At 40.8% G+C, this 19,075-nt stretch overlaps 1 annotated feature.

Annotated features, from left to right (window-relative positions):
• Positions 1-19,075: part of a centromere (Linear centromere model derived predominantly from reads generated in PMID: 17803354. This region does not represent an actual centromere sequence, as long-range ordering of repeats and unmapped WGS contigs is not provided by the model. For details of model production, see http://arxiv.org/abs/1307.0035.) that runs on past both edges of the window.

A 19,075-nucleotide genomic window follows, 5' to 3' on the forward strand; every position in this document is an offset into this window, starting at 1 on the left:
GTGATGTTTGCATTCAAATCCCAGAGTTGAACTTTCCTTTGGAAGTTCACGTTTGAAACACTCTTTTTGCAGGATCTACAAGTGGATATTTGGACCACTCTGTGTCCTTCGTTCGAAACGGGTATATCTTCACATGACATCTAGACAGAAGCTTTCACAGAAAATTCTTTGGGATGATTGAGTGGAAGTCACAGAGCTTAACATTCCTTGCGATGTAGCAGTTTAGAAACACACTTTCTGCAGAATCTGCAAGTGCATATTTGGACCTCTCTGAGGAATTCGTTGGAAACGGAATAATTTCAGCTGACTAAACAGAAGCATTCTCAGAACCTTCTTCGTGATGTCTGCATTCAACACAAAGTGTGGAACTTTTCTTTGATAGTTCAGGTTTTAAAAACTCTTTTTGTAGAAACTGCAAGGGGATAATTGCACTCTTTGAGGAGTACCGTAGTAAAGGAAATAACTTCCTATAAAAAGAAGACAGAAGCATTCTCAGAACCCTCTTCGTGATGTTTGCATTCAACTCACGGTGCTGAACCTTTCTTGGATAGTTCAGCTTTGAAACACTCTTTTTGTAGAAACTGCAAGTGGATATTTGGTCCTCTCTGAGGATTTCGTTGGAAACGGGATAAACCGCACAGAACTAAACAGAAGCATTCTCAGAACCTTCTTCGTGATGTTTGCATTCAACTCACAGTGTTGAACCTTTCTTTGATAGTTCAGGTTTGAAACGGTCTTTCTGTAGAAACTGCAAGTAGATATTTGGACCTCTCTGAGGATTTCGTTGGAAACGGGATAAACCGCACAGAACTAAAACAGAAGCATTCACAGTAAAACTCTTGGTGACGACTGAGTTTAACTCACAGAGCTGAACATTCCTTTGGATGGAGCAGTTTCGAAACACACTATTTGTAGAATCTGCAAGTGGATATTTGGGCCTCTCTGAGGATTTCGTTGGAAACGGGATAAACCGCACAGAACTAAAACAGAAGCATTCTCAGAAACTACTTTGTGATGATTGCATTCAAGTCACAGAGTTGAACATTCCCTTTGACAGAGCAGTTTGGAAACTCTCTTTGTGTAGAATCTGCAAGTGGAGATATGGACCGCTTTGAGGCCTATGGTAGTAAAGGAAATAGCTTCATATAAAAGCTAGACAGTAGCATTCTCAGAAACTTCTTTGTGATGCTTGCATTCAACTCACAGAGTTGAACTTTCCTTTCGAGAGAGAAGCTTTGAAACACTCTTTTTCCAGAATCTGCAAGTGGACATTTGGAGGGCTTTGAGGCCTGTGGTGGAAAAGGAATTATCTTCCCGTAAAAGCTAGATAGAAGCATTGTCAGAAACTTCTTTGTGATGATTGCATTCAACTCACAGAGTTGAAGGTTCCTTTTCAAAGAGCAGTTTCCAATCACTCTTTGTGTGGAATCTGCAAGTGGATATTTGGACCTATTTTGAAGATTTCGTTGGAAACGGGAGAATCTTCACAGGAAAGCTAAACAGAAGCATTCTCAGAAACTTCTCTGTGATGTTTGTGTTCAACTCCCAGAGTTTCACGTTGCTTTTCATAGAGTAGTTCTGAAACATGCTTTTCGTAGTGTCTGCAAGTGGACATTTGGAGCGCTTTCAGGCCTGTGGTGGAAAACGAATTATGGTCACATAAAAACTGGAGAGAAGCCTTCTCAGAAACTTCTCTGTGATGATTGCATTCAACTCACAGAGTTGAACCCTCCTATGGATAGAGCAGTGTTGAAACTCTCTTTTTGTGGAATCTGCAAGTGGATATGTGGACCTCTCCGAAGATGTCTTTGGAAACGGGAATATCTTCACATAAAAACTAAACAGAAGCATTCTCAGAAACTTCTTGGTGATGTTTGCATTCAAATCCCAGAGTTGAACCTTCCTTTGATAGTTCAGGTTTGAAACACTCTTTCTGTAGGATCTGCAAGTGGCTATTTGGACCACTCTGTGGCCTTCGTTCGAAACGGGTATATCTTCGCATAAAATCTAGACAGAAGCATTCTCAGAAAATACTTTGTGATGATTGAGTTTAACTCACAGAGCTGAACATTCCTTTGGATGGAGCAGGTTTGAGACACACCTTTTGTAGAATCTACAAGTGGATATTTGGACCTCTCTGAGGATTTCGTTGGAAACGGGATAACTGCACCTAACTAAACGGAAGCATTCCCAGAAACTGCTTTGTGATGATTGCATTCACCTCACAGAGTTGAACATTCCTATTGATAGAGCAGTTTGGAAACACTCTTGTTGTGGAATGTGCAAGTGGAGATTTGGAGCGCTTTGAGGTCTATGGTAGTAAAGGGAATAGCTTCATAGAAAAACTAGACCGATGCATTCTCAGGAACTTTTTGGTGATGTTTGTATTCCACTCCCAGAGTTGAACTTTCCTTTGGAAAGAGCAGCTATGAAACACTCTTTTTCTAGAATCTGCAAGTGGACGTTTGGAGGGCTTTGTGGTTTGTGGTGGAAAAGGAAATATCTTCACCTAAATACTAGATAGAAGCATCCTCAGAAGCTTCTCTGTGATGACTGCATTCAACTCACGGAGTTGAACACTCCTTTTGAGAGCGCAGTTTTGAAACTCTCTTTCTGTGGCATCTGCAAGGGGACATGTAGACCTCTTTGAAGATTTCGTTGGAAACGGAATCATCTTCACATAAAAACTATACAGAAGCAGTCTCAGAATCTTCTTTGTGATGTTTGCATTCAAATCCCAGAGTTGAACTTGCCTTTCAAAGTTCACGTTTGAAACACTCTTTTTGCAGGATCTACAAGTGGATATTTGGACCACTCTGTGTCCTTCGTTCGAAACGGGTATATCTTCACATGACATCTAGACAGAAGCTTTCTCAGAAAATTCTTTGGGATGATTGAGTTGAACTCACAGAGCTGAGCATTCCTTGCGATGTAGCAGTTTAGAAACACACTTTCTGCAGAATCTGCAAGTGCATATTTGGACCTCTGTGAGGAATTCGTTGGAAACGGGATAATTTCAGCTGACTAAACAGAAGCATTCTCAGAACCTTCTTCGTGATGTCTGCATTCAACTCACAGTGTGGAACCTTTCTTTGATAGTTCAGGTTTGAAACACTCTTTTTGTAGAAACTGCAAGGGGATAATTGCACTTCTTTGAGGCCTACCGTAGTAAAGGAAATAACTTCCTATAGAAAGAAGACAGAAGCATTCTCAGAACCCTCTTCGTGATGTTTGCATTCAACTCACAGTGCTGAACCTTTCTTTGATAGTTCAGCTTTGAAACACACTTTTTGTAGAAACTGCAAGTGGATATTTGGTCCTCTCTGAGGATTTCGTTGGAAACGGGATAAACTGCACAGAACTAAACAGAAGCATTCTCAGAACCTTCTTCGTGATGTTTGCATTCAACTCACAGTGTTGAACCTTTCTTTGATAGTTCAGGTTTGAAACGGTCTTTCTGTAGAAACTGCAAGTAGATATTTGGACCTCTCTGAGGATTTCGTTGGAAACGGGATAAACCGCACAGAACAAAAACAGAAGCATTCACAGAAAACACTTGGTGACGACTGAGTTTAACTCACAGAGCTGAACATTCCTTTGGATGGAACAGTTTCGAAACACACTCTTTGTAGAATCTGCAAGTGGATATTTGGGCCTCTCTGAGGATTTCGTTGGAAACGGGATAAACCGCACAGAACTAAAACAGAAGCATTCTGAGAAACTACTTTGTGATGATTGCATTCAAGTCACAGAGCTGAACATTCCCTTTGATAGAGCAGTTTGGAAACTCTCTTTGTGTAGAATCTGCAAGTGGAGATATGGAATGCTTTGAGGACTATGGTAGTAAAGGAAATAGTTTCATATAAAAGCTAGACAGTAGCATTCTCAGAAACTTCTTTGTGATGCTTGCATTCAACTCACAGAGTTGAACTTTCCTTTCGAGAGAGAAGCTTTGAAACACTCTTTTTCCAGAATCTGCAAGTGGACATTTGGAGGGCTTTGAGGCCTGTGGTGGAAAAGGAATTATCTTCCCGTAAAAGCTAGATAGAAGCATTGTCAGAAACTTCTTTGTGATGATTGCATTCAACTCACAGAGTTGAAGGTTCCTTTTCTAAGAGCAGTTTCCAATCACTCTTTCTGTGGAATCTGCAAGTGGATATTTGGACCTATTTTGAAGATTTCGTTGGAAACGGGAGAATCTTCACAGAAAAGCTAAACAGAAGCATTCTCAGAAACTTCTCTGTGATGTTTGTGTTCAACTCCCAGAGTTTCACATTGCTTTTCATAGAGTAGTTCTGAAACATGCTTTTCGTAGTGTGTACAAGTGCACATTTGGAGCGCTTTCAGGCCTGTGGTGGAAAACGAATTATGGTCACATAAAAACTGGAGAGAAGCCTTCTCAGAAACTTCTCTGTGATGATTGCATTCAACTCACAGAGTTGAACCCTCCTATGGATAGAGCAGTGTTGAAACTCTCTTTTTGTGGAATCTGCAAGTGGATATGTGGACCTCTCCGAAGATGTCTTTGGAAACGGGAATATCTTCACATAAAAACTAAACAGAAGCATTCTCAGAAACTTCTTGGTGATGTTTGCATTCAAATCCCAGAGTTGAACCTTCCTTTGATAGTTCAGGTTTGAAACACTCTTTTTGTAGGATCTGCAAGTGGATATTTGGACCACTCTGTGGCCTTCGTTCGAAACGGGTACATCTTCGCATAAAATCTAGACAGAAGCATTCTCAGAAAATACTTTGTGATGATTGAGTTTAACTCACAGAGCTGAACATTCCTTTGGATGGAGCAGGTTTGAGACACACTTTTTGTAGAATCTACAAGTGGATATTTGGACCTCTCTGAGGATTTCGTTGGAAACGCGATAACTGCACCTAACTAAACGGAAGCATTCTCAGAAACTGCTTTGTGATGATTGCATTCACCTCACAGAGTTGAACATTCCTATTGATAGAGCAGTTTGGAAACACTCTTGTTGTGGAATGTGCAAGTGGAGATTTGGAGCGCTTTGAGGCCTATGGTAGTAAAGGGAATAGCTTCATAGAAAAACTAGACAGATGCATTCTCAGGAACTTTTTGGTGATGTTTGTATTCAACTCCCAGAGTTGAACTTTCCTTTGGAAAGAGCAGCTATGAAACACTCTTTTTCTAGAATCTGCAAGTGGACGTTTGGAGGGCTTTGTGGTTTGTGGTGGAAAAGGAAATATCTTCACCTAAATACTAGATAGAAGCATTCTCAGAAGCTTCTCTGTGATGACTGCATTCAACTCACGGAGTTGAACACTCCTTTTGAGAGCGCAGTTTTGAAACTCTCTTTCTGTGGCATCTGCAAGGGGACATGTAGACCTCTTTGAAGATTTCGTTGGAAACGGAATCATCTTCACATAAAAACTATACAGAAGCAGTCTCAGAATCTTCTTTGTGATGTTTGCATTCAAATCCCAGAGTTGAACTTGCCTTTCAAAGTTCACGTTTGAAACACTCTTTTTGCAGGATCTACAAGTGGATATTTGGACCACTCTGTGTCCTTCGTTCGAAACGGGTATATCTTCACATGACATCTAGACAGAAGCTTTCTCAGAAAATTCTTTGGGATGATTGAGTTGAACTCACAGAGCTGAACATTCCTTGCGATGGAGCAGTTTAGAAACACACTTTCTGCAGAATCTGCAAGTGCATATTTGGACCTCTCTGAGGAATTCGTTGGAAACGGGATAATTTCAGCTGACTAAACAGAAGCATTCTCAGAACCTTCTTCGTGATGTCTGCATTCAACTCACAGTGTGGAACATATCTTTGATACTTCAGGTTTGAAACACTCTTTTTGTAGAGACTGCAAGGGGATAATTGCACTTCTTTGAGGCCTACCGTAGTAAAGGAAATAACTTCCTATAAAAAGAAGACAGAAGCATTCTCAGAACCCTCTTCGTGATGTTTGCATTGAACTCACAGTGCTGAACCTTTCTTTGATAGTTCAGCTTTGAAACACTCTTTTTGTAGAAACTGCAAGTGGATATTTGGTCCTCTCTGAGGATTTCGTTGGAAAAGGGATAAAACGCCCAGAACTAAACAGAAGCATTCTCAGAACCTTCTTCGTGATGTTTGCATTCAACTCACAGTGTTGAACCTTTCTTTGATAGTTCAGGTTGGAAACGGTCTTTCTGTAGAAACTGCAAGTAGATATTTGGACCTCTCTGAGGATTTCGTTGGAAACGGGATAAACCGCACAGAACTAAAACAGAAAGCATTCACAGAAAACTCTTGGTGACGACTGAGTTTAACTCACAGAGCTGAACATTCCTTTGGATGGAGCAGTTTCGAAACACACTATTTGTAGAATGTGCAAGTGGATATTTGGGCCTCTCTGAGGATTTCGTTGGAAACGGGATAAACCGCACAGAACTAAACAGAAGCATTCTCAGAAACTACTTTGTGATGATTGCATTCAAGTCACAGAGTTGAACATTCCCTTTGACAGAGCAGTTTGGAAACTCTCTTTGTGTAGAATCTGCAAGTGGAGATATGGACCGCTTTGAGGCCTATGGTAGTAAAGGAAATAGCTTCATATAAAAGCTAGACAGTAGCATTCTCAGAAACTTCTTTGTGATGCTTGCATTCAACTCACAGAGTTGAACTTTCCTTTCGAGAGAGAAGCTTTGAAACACTCTTTTTCCAGAATCTGCAAGTGGACATTTGGAGGGCTTTGAGGCCTGTGGTGGAAAAGGAATTAACTTCCCGTAAAAGCTAGATAGAAGCATTGTCAGAAACTTCTTTGTGATGATTGCATTCAACTCACAGAGATGAAGGTTCCTTTACAAACAGCAGTTTCCAAACACTCTTTCTGTGGAATCTGCAAGTGGATATTTGGACCTCTTTGAAGATTTCGTTGGAAACGGGAGAATCTTCACAGAAAAGCTAAACAGAAGCATTCTCAGAAACTTCTCTGTGATGTTTGTGTTCAACTCCCAGAGTTTCACGTTGCTTTTCATAGAGTAGTTCTGAAACATGCTTTTCGTAGTGTCTGCAAGTGGACATTTGGAGCGCTTTCAGGCCTGTGGTGGAAAACGAATTATGGTCACATAAAAACTGGAGAGAAGCCTTCTCAGAAACTTCTCTGTGATGATTGCATTCAACTCACAGAGTTGAACCCTCCTATGGATAGAGCAGTGTTGAAACTCTCTTTTTGTGGAATCTGCAAGTGGATATGTGGACCTCTCCGAAGATGTCTTTGGAAACGGGAATATCTTCACATAAAAACTAAACAGAAGCATTCTCAGAAACTTCTTGGTGATGTTTGCATTCAAATCCCAGAGTTGAACCTTCCTTTGATAGTTCAGGTTTGAAACACTCTTTTTGTAGGATCTGCAAGTGGATATTTGGACCACTCTGTGGCCTTCGTTCGAAACGGGTACATCTTCGCATAAAATCTAGACAGAAGCATTCTCAGAAAATACTTTGTGATGATTGAGTTTAAATCACAGAGCTGACCATTCCTTTGGATGGAGCAGGTTTGAGACACACTTTTTGTAGAATCTACAAGTGGATATTTGGACCTCTCTGAGGATTTCGTTGGAAACGGGATAACTGCACCTAACTAAACGGAAGCATTCTCAGAAACTGCTTTGTGATGATTGCATTCACCTCACAGAGTTGAACATTCCTATTGATAGAGCAGTTTGGAAACACTCTTGTTGTGGAATGTGCAAGTGGAGATTTGGAGCGCTTTGAGGCCTATGGTAGTAAAGGGAATAGCTTCATAGAAAAACTAGACAGATGCATTCTCAGGAACTTTTTGGTGATGTTTGTATTCAACTCCCAGAGTTGAACTTTCCTTTGGAAAGAGCAGCTATGAAACACTCTTTTTCTAGAATCTGCAAGTGGACGTTTGGAGGGCTTTGTGGTTTGTGGTGGAAAAGGAAATATCTTCACCTAAATACTAGACAGAAGCATTCTCAGAAGCTTCTCTGTGATGACTGCATTCAACTCACGGAGTTGAACACTCCTTTTGAGAGCGCAGTTTTGAAACTCTCTTTCTGTGGCATCTGCAAGGGGACATGTAGACCTCTTTGAAGATTTCGTTGGAAACGGAATCATCTTCACATAAAAACTATACAGAAGCAGTCTCAGAATCTTCTTTGTGATGTTTGCATTCAAATCCCAGAGTTGAACTTTCCTTTCAAAGTTCACGTTTGAAACACTCTTTTTGCAGGATCTACAAGTGGATATTTGGACCACTCTGTGTCCTTCGTTCGAAACGGGTATATCTTCACACGACATCTAGACAGAAGCTTTCTCAGAAAATTCTTTGGGATGATTGAGTGGAACTCACAGAGCTGAACATTCCTTGCGATGTAGCAGTTTAGAAACACACTTTCTGCAGAATCTGCAAGTGCATATTTGGACCTCTCTGAGGAATTCGTTGGAAACGGGATAATTTCAGCTGACTAAACAGAAGCATTCTCAGAACCTTCTTCGTGATGTCTGCATTCAACTCACAGTGTGGAACCTTTCTTTGATAGTTCAGGTTTGAAACACTCTTTTTGTAGAAACTGCAAGGGGATAATTGCACTTCTTTGAGGCCTACCGTAGTAAAGGAAATAACTTCCTATAGAAAGAAGACAGAAGCATTCTCAGAACCCTCTTCGTGATGTTTGCATTCAACTCACGGTGCTGAACCTTTCTTTGATAGTTCAGCTTTGAAACACTCTTTTTGTAGAAACTGCAAGTGGATATTTGGTCCCCTCTGAGGATTTCGTTGGAAACGGGATAAACCGCACAGAACTAAACAGAAGCATTCTCAGAACCTTCTTCGTGATGTTTGCATTCAACTCACAGTGTTGAACCTTTCTTTGATAGTTCAGGTTTGAAACGGTCTTTCTGTAGAAACTGCAAGTAGATATTTGGACCTCTCTGAGGATTTCGTTGGAAACGGGATAACCCGCACAGAACTAAAACAGAAGCATTCACAGAAAACTCTTGGTGACGACTGAGTTTAACTCACAGAGCTGGACATTCCTTTGGATGGAGCAGTTTTGAAACACACTATTTGTAGAATCTGCAAGTGGATATTTGGGCCCCTCTGAGGATTTCGTTGGAAACGGGATAAACCGCACAGAACTAAAACAGAAGCATTCTCAGAAACTACTTTGTGATGATTGCATTCAAGTCACAGAGTTGAACATTCCCTTTGACAGAGCAGTTTGGAAACTCTCTTTGTGTAGAATCTGCAAGTGGAGATATGGACCGCTTTGAGGCCTATGGTAGTAAAGGAAATAGCTTCATATAAAAGCTAGACAGTAGCATTCTCAGAAACTTCTTTGTGATGCTTGCATTCAACTCACAGAGTTGAACTTTCCTTTCGAGAGAGAAGCTTTGAAACACTCTTTTTCCAGAATCTGCAAGTGGACATTTGGAGGGCTTTGAGGCCTGTGGTGGAAAAGGAATTAACTTCCCGTAAAAGCTAGATAGAAGCATTGTCAGAGACTTCTTTGTGATGATTGCATTCAAGTCACAGAGTTGAAGGTTCCTTTTCAAAGAGCAGTTTCCAATCACTCTTTCTGTGGAATCTGCAAGTGGATATTTGGACCTCCTTTGAAGATTTCGTTGGAAACGGGAGAATCTTCACAGAAAAGCTAAACAGAAGCATTCTCAGAAACTTCTCTGTGATGTTTGTGTTCAACTCCCAGAGTTTCACGTTGCTTTTCATAGAGTAGTTCTGAAACATGCTTTTCGTAGTGTCTGCAAGTGGACATTTGGAGCGCTTTCAGGCCTGTGGTGGAAAACGAATTATGGTCACATAAAAACTGGAGAGAAGCCTTCTCAGAAACTTCTCTGTGATGATTGCATTCAACTCACAGAGTTGAACCCTCCTATGGATAGAGCAGTGTTGAAACTCTCTTTTTGTGGAATCTGCAAGTGGATATGTGGACCTCTCCGAAGATGTCTTTGGAAACGGGAATATCTTCACATAAAAACTAAACAGAAGCATTCTCAGAAACTTCTTGGTGATGTTTGCATTCAAATCCCAGAGTTGAACCTTCCTGTGATAGTTCAGGTTTGAAACACTCTTTTTGTAGGATCTGCAAGTGGATATTTGGACCACTCTGTGGCCTTCGTTCGAAACGGGTACATCTTCACATAAAATCTAGACAGAAGCATTCTCAGAAAATACTTTGTGATGATTGAGTTTAAATCACAGAGCTGACCATTCCTTTGGATGGAGCAGGTTTGAGACACACTTTTTGTAGAATCTACAAGTGGATATTTGGACCTCTCTGAGGATTTCGTTGGAAACGGGATAACTGCACCTAACTAAACGGAAGCATTCTCAGAAACTGCTTTGTGATGATTGCATTCACCTCACAGAGTTGAACATTCCTATTGATAGAGCAGTTTGGAAACACTCTTGTTGTGGAATGTGCAAGTGGAGATTTGGAGCGCTTTGAGGCCTATGGTAGTAAAGGGAATAGCTTCATAGAAAAACTAGACAGATGCATTCTCAGGAACTTTTTGGTGATGTTTGTATTCAACTCCCAGAGTTGAACTTTCCTTTGGAAAGAGCAGCTATGAAACACTCTTTTTCTAGAATCTGCAAGTGGACGTTTGGAGGGCTTTGTGGTTTGTGGTGGAAAAGGAAATATCTTCACCTAAATACTAGATAGAAGCATTCTCAGAAGCTTCTCTGTGATGACTGCATTCAACTCACGGAGTTGAACACTCCTTTTGAGAGCGCAGTTTTGAAACTCTCTTTCTGTGGCATCTGCAAGGGGACATGTAGACCTCTTTGAAGATTTCGTTGGAAACGGAATCATCTTCACATAAAAACTATACAGAAGTAGTCTCAGAATCTTCTTTGTGATGTTTGCATTCAAATCCCAGAGTTGAACTTTCCTTTCAAAGTTCACGTTTGAAACACTCTTTTTGCAGGATCTACAAGTGGATATTTGGACCACTCTGTGTCCTTCGTTCGAAACGGGTATATCTTCACACGACATCTAGACAGAAGCTTTCTCAGAAAATTGTTTGGGATGATTGAGTGGAACTCACAGAGCTGAACATTCCTTGCGATGTAGCAGTTTAGAAACACACTTTCTGCAGAATCTGCAAGTGCATATTTGGACCTCTCAGAGGAATTCGTTGGAAACGGGATAATTTCAGCTGACTAAACAGAAGCATTCTCAGAACCTTCTTCGTGATGTCTGCATTCAACTCACAGTGTGGAACCTTTCTTTGATAGTTCAGGTTTGAAACACTCTTTTTGTAGAAACTGCAAGGGGATAATTGCACTTCTTTGAGGCCTACCGTAGTAAAGGAAATAACTTCCTATAGAAAGAAGACAGAAGAATTCTCAGAGCCCTCTTCGTGATGTTTGCATTCAACTCACAGTGCTGAACCTTTCTTTGATAGTGCAGCTTTGAAACACTCTTTTTGTAGAAACTGCAAGTGGATGTTTGGTCCTCTCTGAGGATTTCGTTGGAAACGGGATAAACCGCACAGAACTAAAACAGAAGCATTCTCAGAACCTTCTTCGTGATGTTTGCATTCAACTCACAGTGTTGAACCTTTCTTTGATAGTTCAGGTTTGAAACGGTCTTTCTGTAGAAACTGCAAGTAGATATTTGGACCTCTCTGAGGATTTCGTTGGAAACGGGATAAACCGCACAGAACTAAAACAGAAGCATTCACAGAAAACTCTTGGTGACGACTGAGTTTAACTCACAGAGCTGAACATTCCTTTGGATGGAGCAGTTTCGAAACACACTATTTGTAGAATGTGCAAGTGGATATTTGGGCCTCTCTGAGGATTTCGTTGGAAACGGGATAAACCGCACAGAACTAAACAGAAGCATTCTCAGAAACTACTTTGTGATGATTGCATTCAAGTCACAGAGTTGAACATTCCCTTTGACAGAGCAGTTTGGAAACTCTCTTTGTGTAGAATCTGCAAGTGGAGATATGGACCGCTTTGAGGCCTATGGTAGTAAAGGAAATAGCTTCATATAAAAGCTAGACAGTAGCATTCTCAGAAACTTCTTTGTGATGCTTGCATTCAACTCACAGAGTTGAACTTTCCTTTCGAGAGAGAAGCTTTGAAACACTCTTTTTCCAGAATCTGCAAGTGGACATTTGGAGGGCTTTGAGGCCTGTGGTGGAAAAGGAATTATCTTCCCGTAAAAGCTAGATAGAAGCATTGTCAGAAACTTCTTTGTGATGATTGCATTCAACTCACAGAGTTGAAGGTTCCTTTTCAAACAGCAGTTTCCAATCACTCTTTCTGTGGAATCTGCAAGTGGATATTTCGACCTCTTTGAAGATTTCGTTGGAAACGGGAGAATCTTCACAGAAAAGCTAAACAGAAGCATTCTCAGAAACTTCTCTGTGATGTTTGTGTTCAACTCCCAGAGTTTCACATTGCTTCTCATAGAGTAGTTCTGAAACATGCTTTTCGTAGTGTCTGCAAGTGGACATTTGGAGCGCTTTCAGGCCTGTGGTGGAAAACGAATTATGGTCACATAAAAACTGGAGAGAAGCCTTCTCAGAAACTTCTCTGTGATGATTGCATTCAACTCACAGAGTTGAACCCTCCTATGGATAGAGCAGTGTTGAAACTCTCTTTTTGTGGAATCTGCAAGTGGATATGTGGACCTCTCCGAAGATGTCTTTGGAAACGGGAATATCTTCACATAAAAACTAAACAGAAGCATTCTCAGAAACTTCTTGGTGATGTTTGCATTCAAATCCCAGAGTTGAACCTTCCTTTGATAGTTCAGGTTTGAAACACTCTTTCTGTAGGATCTGCAAGTGGCTATTTGGACCACTCTGTGGCCTTCGTTCGAAACGGGTATATCTTCGCATAAAATCTAGACAGAAGCATTCTCAGAAAATACTTTGTGATGATTGAGTTTAAATCACAGAGCTGAACATTCCTTTGGATGGAGCAGGTTTGAGACACACTTTTTGTAGAATCTACAAGTGGATATTTGGACCTCTCTGAGGATTTCGTTGGAAACGGGATAACTGCACCTAACTAAACGGAAGCATTCTCAGAAACTGCTTTGTGATGATTGCATTCACCTCACAGAGTTGAACATTCCTATTGATAGAGCAGTTTGGAAACACTCTTGTTGTGGAATGTGCAAGTGGAGATTTGGAGCGCTTTGAGGCCTATGGTAGTAAAGGGAATAGCTTCATAGAAAAACTAGACAGATGCATTCTCAGGAACTTTTTGGTGATGTTTGTATTCAACTCCCAGAGTTGAACTTTCCTTTGGAAAGAGCAGCTATGAAACACTCTTTTTCTAGAATCTGCAAGTGGACGTTTGGAGGGCTTTGTGGTTTGTGGTGGAAAAGGAAATATCTTCACCTAAATACTAGATAGAAGCATTCTCAGAAGCTTCTCTGTGATGACTGCATTCAACTCACGGAGTTGAACACTCCTTTTGAGAGCGCAGTTTTGAAACTCTCTTTCTGTGGCATCTGCAAGGGGACATGTAGACCTCTTTGAAGATTTCGTTGGAAACGGAATCATCTTCACATAAAAACTATACAGAAGCAGTCTCAGAATCTTCTTTGTGATGTTTGCATTCAAATCCCCGAGTTGAACTTTCCTTTCAAAGTTCACGTTTGAAACACTCTTTTTGCAGGATCTACAAGTGGATATTTGGACCACTCTGTGTCCTTCGTTCGAAACGGGTATATCTTCACATGACATCTAGACAGAAGCTTTCTCAGAAAATTCTTTGGGATGATTGAGTGGAACTCACAGAGCTGAACATTCCTTGCGATGTAGCAGTTTAGAAACACACTTTCTGCAGAATCTGCAAGTGCATATTTGGACCTCTCTGAGGAATTCGTTGGAAACGGGATAATTTCAGCTGACTAAACAGAAGCATTCTCAGAACCTTCTTCGTGATGTCTGCATTCAACTCACAGTGTGGAACCTTTCTTTGATAGTTCAGGTTTGAAACACTCTTTTTGTAGAAACTGCAAGGGGATAATTGCACTTCTTTGAGGCCTACCGTAGTAAAGGAAATAACTTCCTATAGAAAGAAGACAGAAGCATTCTCAGAACCCTCTTCGTGATGTTTGCATTCAACTCACAGTGCTGAAACTTTCTTTGATAGTTCAGCTTTGAAACACTCTTCTTGTAGAAACTGCAAGTGGATATTTGGTCCTCTCTGAGGATTTCGTTGGAAACGGGATAAACTGCACAGAACTAAACAGAAGCATTCTCAGAACCTTCTTCGTGATGTTTGCATTCAACTCACAGTGTTGAACCTTTCTTTGATAGTTCAGGTTGGAAACGGTCTTTCTGTAGAAACTGCAAGTAGATATTTGGACCTCTCTGAGGATTTCGTTGGAAACGGGATAAACCGCACAGAACTAAAACAGAAGCATTCACAGAAAACTCTTGGTGACGACTGAGTTTAACTCACAGAGCTGAACATTCCTTTGGATGGAGCAGTTTCGAAACACACTATTTGTAGAATGTGCAAGTGGATATTTAGGCCTCTCTGAGGATTTCGTTGGAAACGGGATAAACCGCACAGAACTAAACAGAAGCATTCTCAGAAACTACTTTGTGATGATTGCATTCAAGTCACAGAGTTGAACATTCCCTTTGACAGAGCAGTTTGGAAACTCTCTTTGTGTAGAATCTGCAAGTGGAGATATGGACCGCTTTGAGGCCTATGGTAGTAAAGGAAATAGCTTCATATAAAAGCTAGACAGTAGCATTCTCAGAAACTTCTTTGTGATGCTTGCATTCAACTCACAGAGTTGAACTTTCCTTTCGAGAGAGAAGCTTTGAAACACTCTTTTTCCAGAATCTGCAAGTGGACATTTGGAGGGCTTTGAGGCCTGTGGTGGAAAAGGAATTAACTTCCCGTAAAAGCTAGATAGAAGCATTGTCAGAAACTTCTTTGTGATGATTGCATTCAACTCACAGAGTTGAAGGTTCCTTTTCAAACAGCAGTTTCCAATCACTCTTTCTGTGGAATCTGCAAGTGGATATTTGGGCCTCTCTGAGGATTTCGTTGGAAACGGGATAAAACGCACAGAACTAAAACAGAAGCATTCTCAGAAACTTCTCTGTGATGTTTGTGTTCAACTCCCAGAGTTTCACATTGCTTTTCATAGAGTAGTTCTGAAACATGCTTTTCGTAGTGTCTGCAAGTGGACATTTGGAGCGCTTTCAGGCCTGTGGTGGAAAACGAATTATGGTCACATAAAAACTGGAGAGAAGCCTTCTCAGAAACTTCTCTGTGATGATTGCATTCAACTCACAGAGTTGAACCCTCCTATGGATAGAGCAGTGTTGAAACTCTCTTTTTGTGGAATCTGCAAGTGGATATGTGGACCTCTCCGAAGATGTCTTTGGAAACGGGAATATCTTCACATAAAAACTAAACAGAAGCATTCTCAGAAACTTCTTGGTGATGTTTGCATTCAAATCCCAGAGTTGAACCTTCCTTTGATAGTTCAGGTTTGAAACACTCTTTCTGTAGGATCTGCAAGTGGCTATTTGGACCACTCTGTGGCCTTCGTTCGAAACGGGTATATCTTCGCATAAAATCTAGACAGAAGCATTCTCAGAAAATACTTTGTGATGATTGAGTTTAAATCACAGAGCTGAACATTCCTTTGGATGGAGCAGGTTTGAGACACACTTTTTGTAGAATCTACAAGTGGATATTTGGACCTCTCTGAGGATTTCGTTGGAAACGGGATAACTGCACCTAACTAAACGGAAGCATTCTCAGAAACTGCTTTGTGATGATTGCATTCACCTCACAGAGTTGAACATTCCTATTGATAGAGCAGTTTGGAAACACTCTTGTTGTGGAATGTGCAAGTGGAGATTTGGAGCGCTTTGAGGCCTATGGTAGTAAAGGGAATAGCTTCATAGAAAAACCAGACAGATGCATTCTCAGGAACTTTTTGGTGATGTTTGTATTCAACTCCCAGAGTTGAACTTTCCTTTGGAAAGAGCAGCTATGAAACACTCTTTTTCTAGAATCTGCAAGTGGACGTTTGGAGGGCTTTGTGGTTTGTGGTGGAAAAGGAAATATCTTCACCTAAATACTAGATAGAAGCATTCTCAGAAGCTTCTCTGTGATGACTGCATTCAACTCACGGAGTTGAACACTCCTTTTGAGAGCGCAGTTTTGAAACTCTCTTTCTGTGGCATCTGCAAGGGGACATGTAGACCTCTTTGAAGATTTCGTTGGAAACGGAATCATCTTCACATAAAAACTATACAGAAGCAGTCTCAGAATCTTCTTTGTGATGTTTGCATTCAAATCCCAGAGTTGAACTTGCCTTTCAAAGTTCACGTTTGAAACACTCTTTTTGCAGGATCTACAAGTGGATATTTGGACCACTCTGTGTCCTTCGTTCGAAACGGGTATATCTTCACATGACATCTAGACAGAAGCTTTCTCAGAAAATTCTTTGGGATGATTGAGTGGAACTCACAGAGCTGAACATTCCTTGCGATGTAGCAGTTTAGAAACACACTTTCTGCAGAATCTGCAAGTGCATATTTGGACCTCTCTGAGGAATTCGTTGGAAACGGGATAATTTCAGCTGACTAAACAGAAGCATTCTCAGAACCTTCTTCGTGATGTCTGCATTCAACTCACAGTGTGGAACCTTTCTTTGATAGTTCAGGTTTGAAACACTCTTTTTGGAGAAACTGCAAGGGGATCATTGCACTTCTTTGAGGCCTACCGTAGTAAAGGAGATAACTTCCTATAAAAAGAAGACAGAAGCATTCTCAGAACCCTCTTCGTGATGTTTGCATTCAACTCACAGTGCTGAACCTTTCTTTGATAGTTCAGCTTTGAAACACTCTTCTTGTAGAAACTGCAAGTGGATATTTGGTCCTCTCTGAGGATTTCGTTGGAAACGGGATAAACCGCACAGAACTAAACAGAAGCATTCTCAGAACCTTCTTCGTGATGTTTGCATTCAACTCACAGTGTTGAACCTTTCTTTGATAGTTCAGGTTTGAAACGGTCTTTCTGTAGAAACTGCAAGTAGATATTTGGACCTCTCTGAGGATTTCGTTGGAAACGGGATAACCCGCACAGAACTAAAACAGAAGCATTCACAGAAAACTCTTGGTGACGACTGAGTTTAACTCACAGAGCTGAACATTCCTTTGGATGGAGCAGTTTCGAAACACACTATTTGTAGAATCTGCAAGTGGATATTTGGGCCTCTCTGAGGATTTCGTTGGAAACGGGATAAAACGCACAGAACTAAAACAGAAGCATTCTCAGAAACTACTTTGTGACGATTGCATTCAAGTCACAGAGTTGAACATTCCCTTTGACAGAGCAGTTTGGAAACTCTCTTTGTGTAGAATCTGCAAGTGGAGATATGGACCGCTTTGAGGCCTATGGTAGTAAAGGAAATAGCTTCATATAAAAGCTAGACAGTAGCATTCTCAGAAACTTCTTTGTGATGCTTGCATTCAACTCACAGAGTTGAACTTTCCTTTCGAGAGAGAAGCTTTGAAACACTCTTTTTCCAGAATCTGCAAGTGGACATTTGGAGGGCTTTGAGGCCTGTGGTGGAAAAGGAATTATCTTCCCGTAAAAGCTAGATAGAAGCATTGTCAGAAACTTCTTTGTGATGATTGCATACAAGTCACAGAGTTGAAGGTTCCTTTTCAAAGAGCAGTTTCCAATCACTCTTTCTGTGGAATCTGCAAGTGGATATTTGGACCTCTTTGAAGATTTCGTTGGAAACGGGAGAATCTTCACAGAAAAGCTAAACAGAAGCATTCTCAGAAACTTCTCTGTGATGTTTGTGTTCAACTCCCAGAGTTTCACATTGCTTCTCATAGAGTAGTTCTGAAACATGCTTTTCGTAGTGTCTGCAAGTGGACATTTGGAGCGCTTTCAGGCCTGTGGTGGAAAACGAATTATGGTCACATAAAAACTGGAGAGAAGCCTTCTCAGAAACTTCTCTGTGATGATTGCATTCAACTCACAGAGTTGAACCCTCCTATGGATAGAGCAGTGTTGAAACTCTCTTTTTGTGGAATCTGCAAGCGGATATGTGGACCTCTCCGAAGATGTCTTTGGAAACGGGAATATCTTCACATAAAAACTAAACAGAAGCATTCTCAGAAACTTCTTGGTGATGTTTGCATTCAAATCCCAGAGGTGAACCTTCCTTTGATAGTTCAGGTTTGAAACACTCTTTTTGTAGGATCTGCAAGTGGCTATTTGGACCACTCTGTGGCCTTCGTTCGAAACGGGTATATCTTCGCATAAAATCTAGACAGAAGCATTCTCAGAAAATACTTTGTGATGATTGAGTTTAAATCACAGAGCTGACCATTCCTTTGGATGGAGCAGGTTTGAGACACACTTTTTGTAGAATCTACAAGTGGATATTTGGACCTCTCTGAGGATTTCGTTGGAAACGGGATAACTGCACCTAACTAAACGGAAGCATTCTCAGAAACTGCTTTGTGATGATTGCATTCACCTCACAGAGTTGAACATTCCTATTGATAGAGCAGTTTGGAAACACTCTTGTTGTGGAATGTGCAAGTGGAGATTTGGAGCGCTTTGAGGCCTATGTTAGTAAAGGGAATAGCTTCATAGAAAAACTAGACAGATGCATTCTCAGGAACCTTTTGGTGATGTTTGTATTCAACTCCCAGAGTTGAACTTTCCTTTGGAAAGAGCAGCTATGAAACACTCTTTTTCTAGAATCTGCAAGTGGACGTTTGGAGGGCTTTGTGGTTTGTGGTGGAAAAGGAAATATCTTCACCTAAATACTAGATAGAAGCATTCTCAGAAGCTTCTCTGTGATGACTGCATTCAACTCACGGAGTTGAACACTCCTTTTGAGAGCGCAGTTTTGAAACTCTCTTTCTGTGGCATCTGCAAGGGGACATGTAGACCTCTTTGAAGATTTCGTTGGAAACGGAATCATCTTCACATAAAAACTATACAGAAGCATTCTCAGAACCCTCTTCGTGATGTTTGCATTCAACTCACAGTGCTGAACCTTTCTTTGATAGTTCAGCTTTGAAACACTC

The sequence above is a fragment of the Homo sapiens genome, chromosome 17, assembly GCF_000001405.40.
Source record: "Homo sapiens chromosome 17, GRCh38.p14 Primary Assembly".
In the NCBI taxonomy this organism is placed as follows: Eukaryota; Metazoa; Chordata; class Mammalia; order Primates; family Hominidae; genus Homo; species Homo sapiens.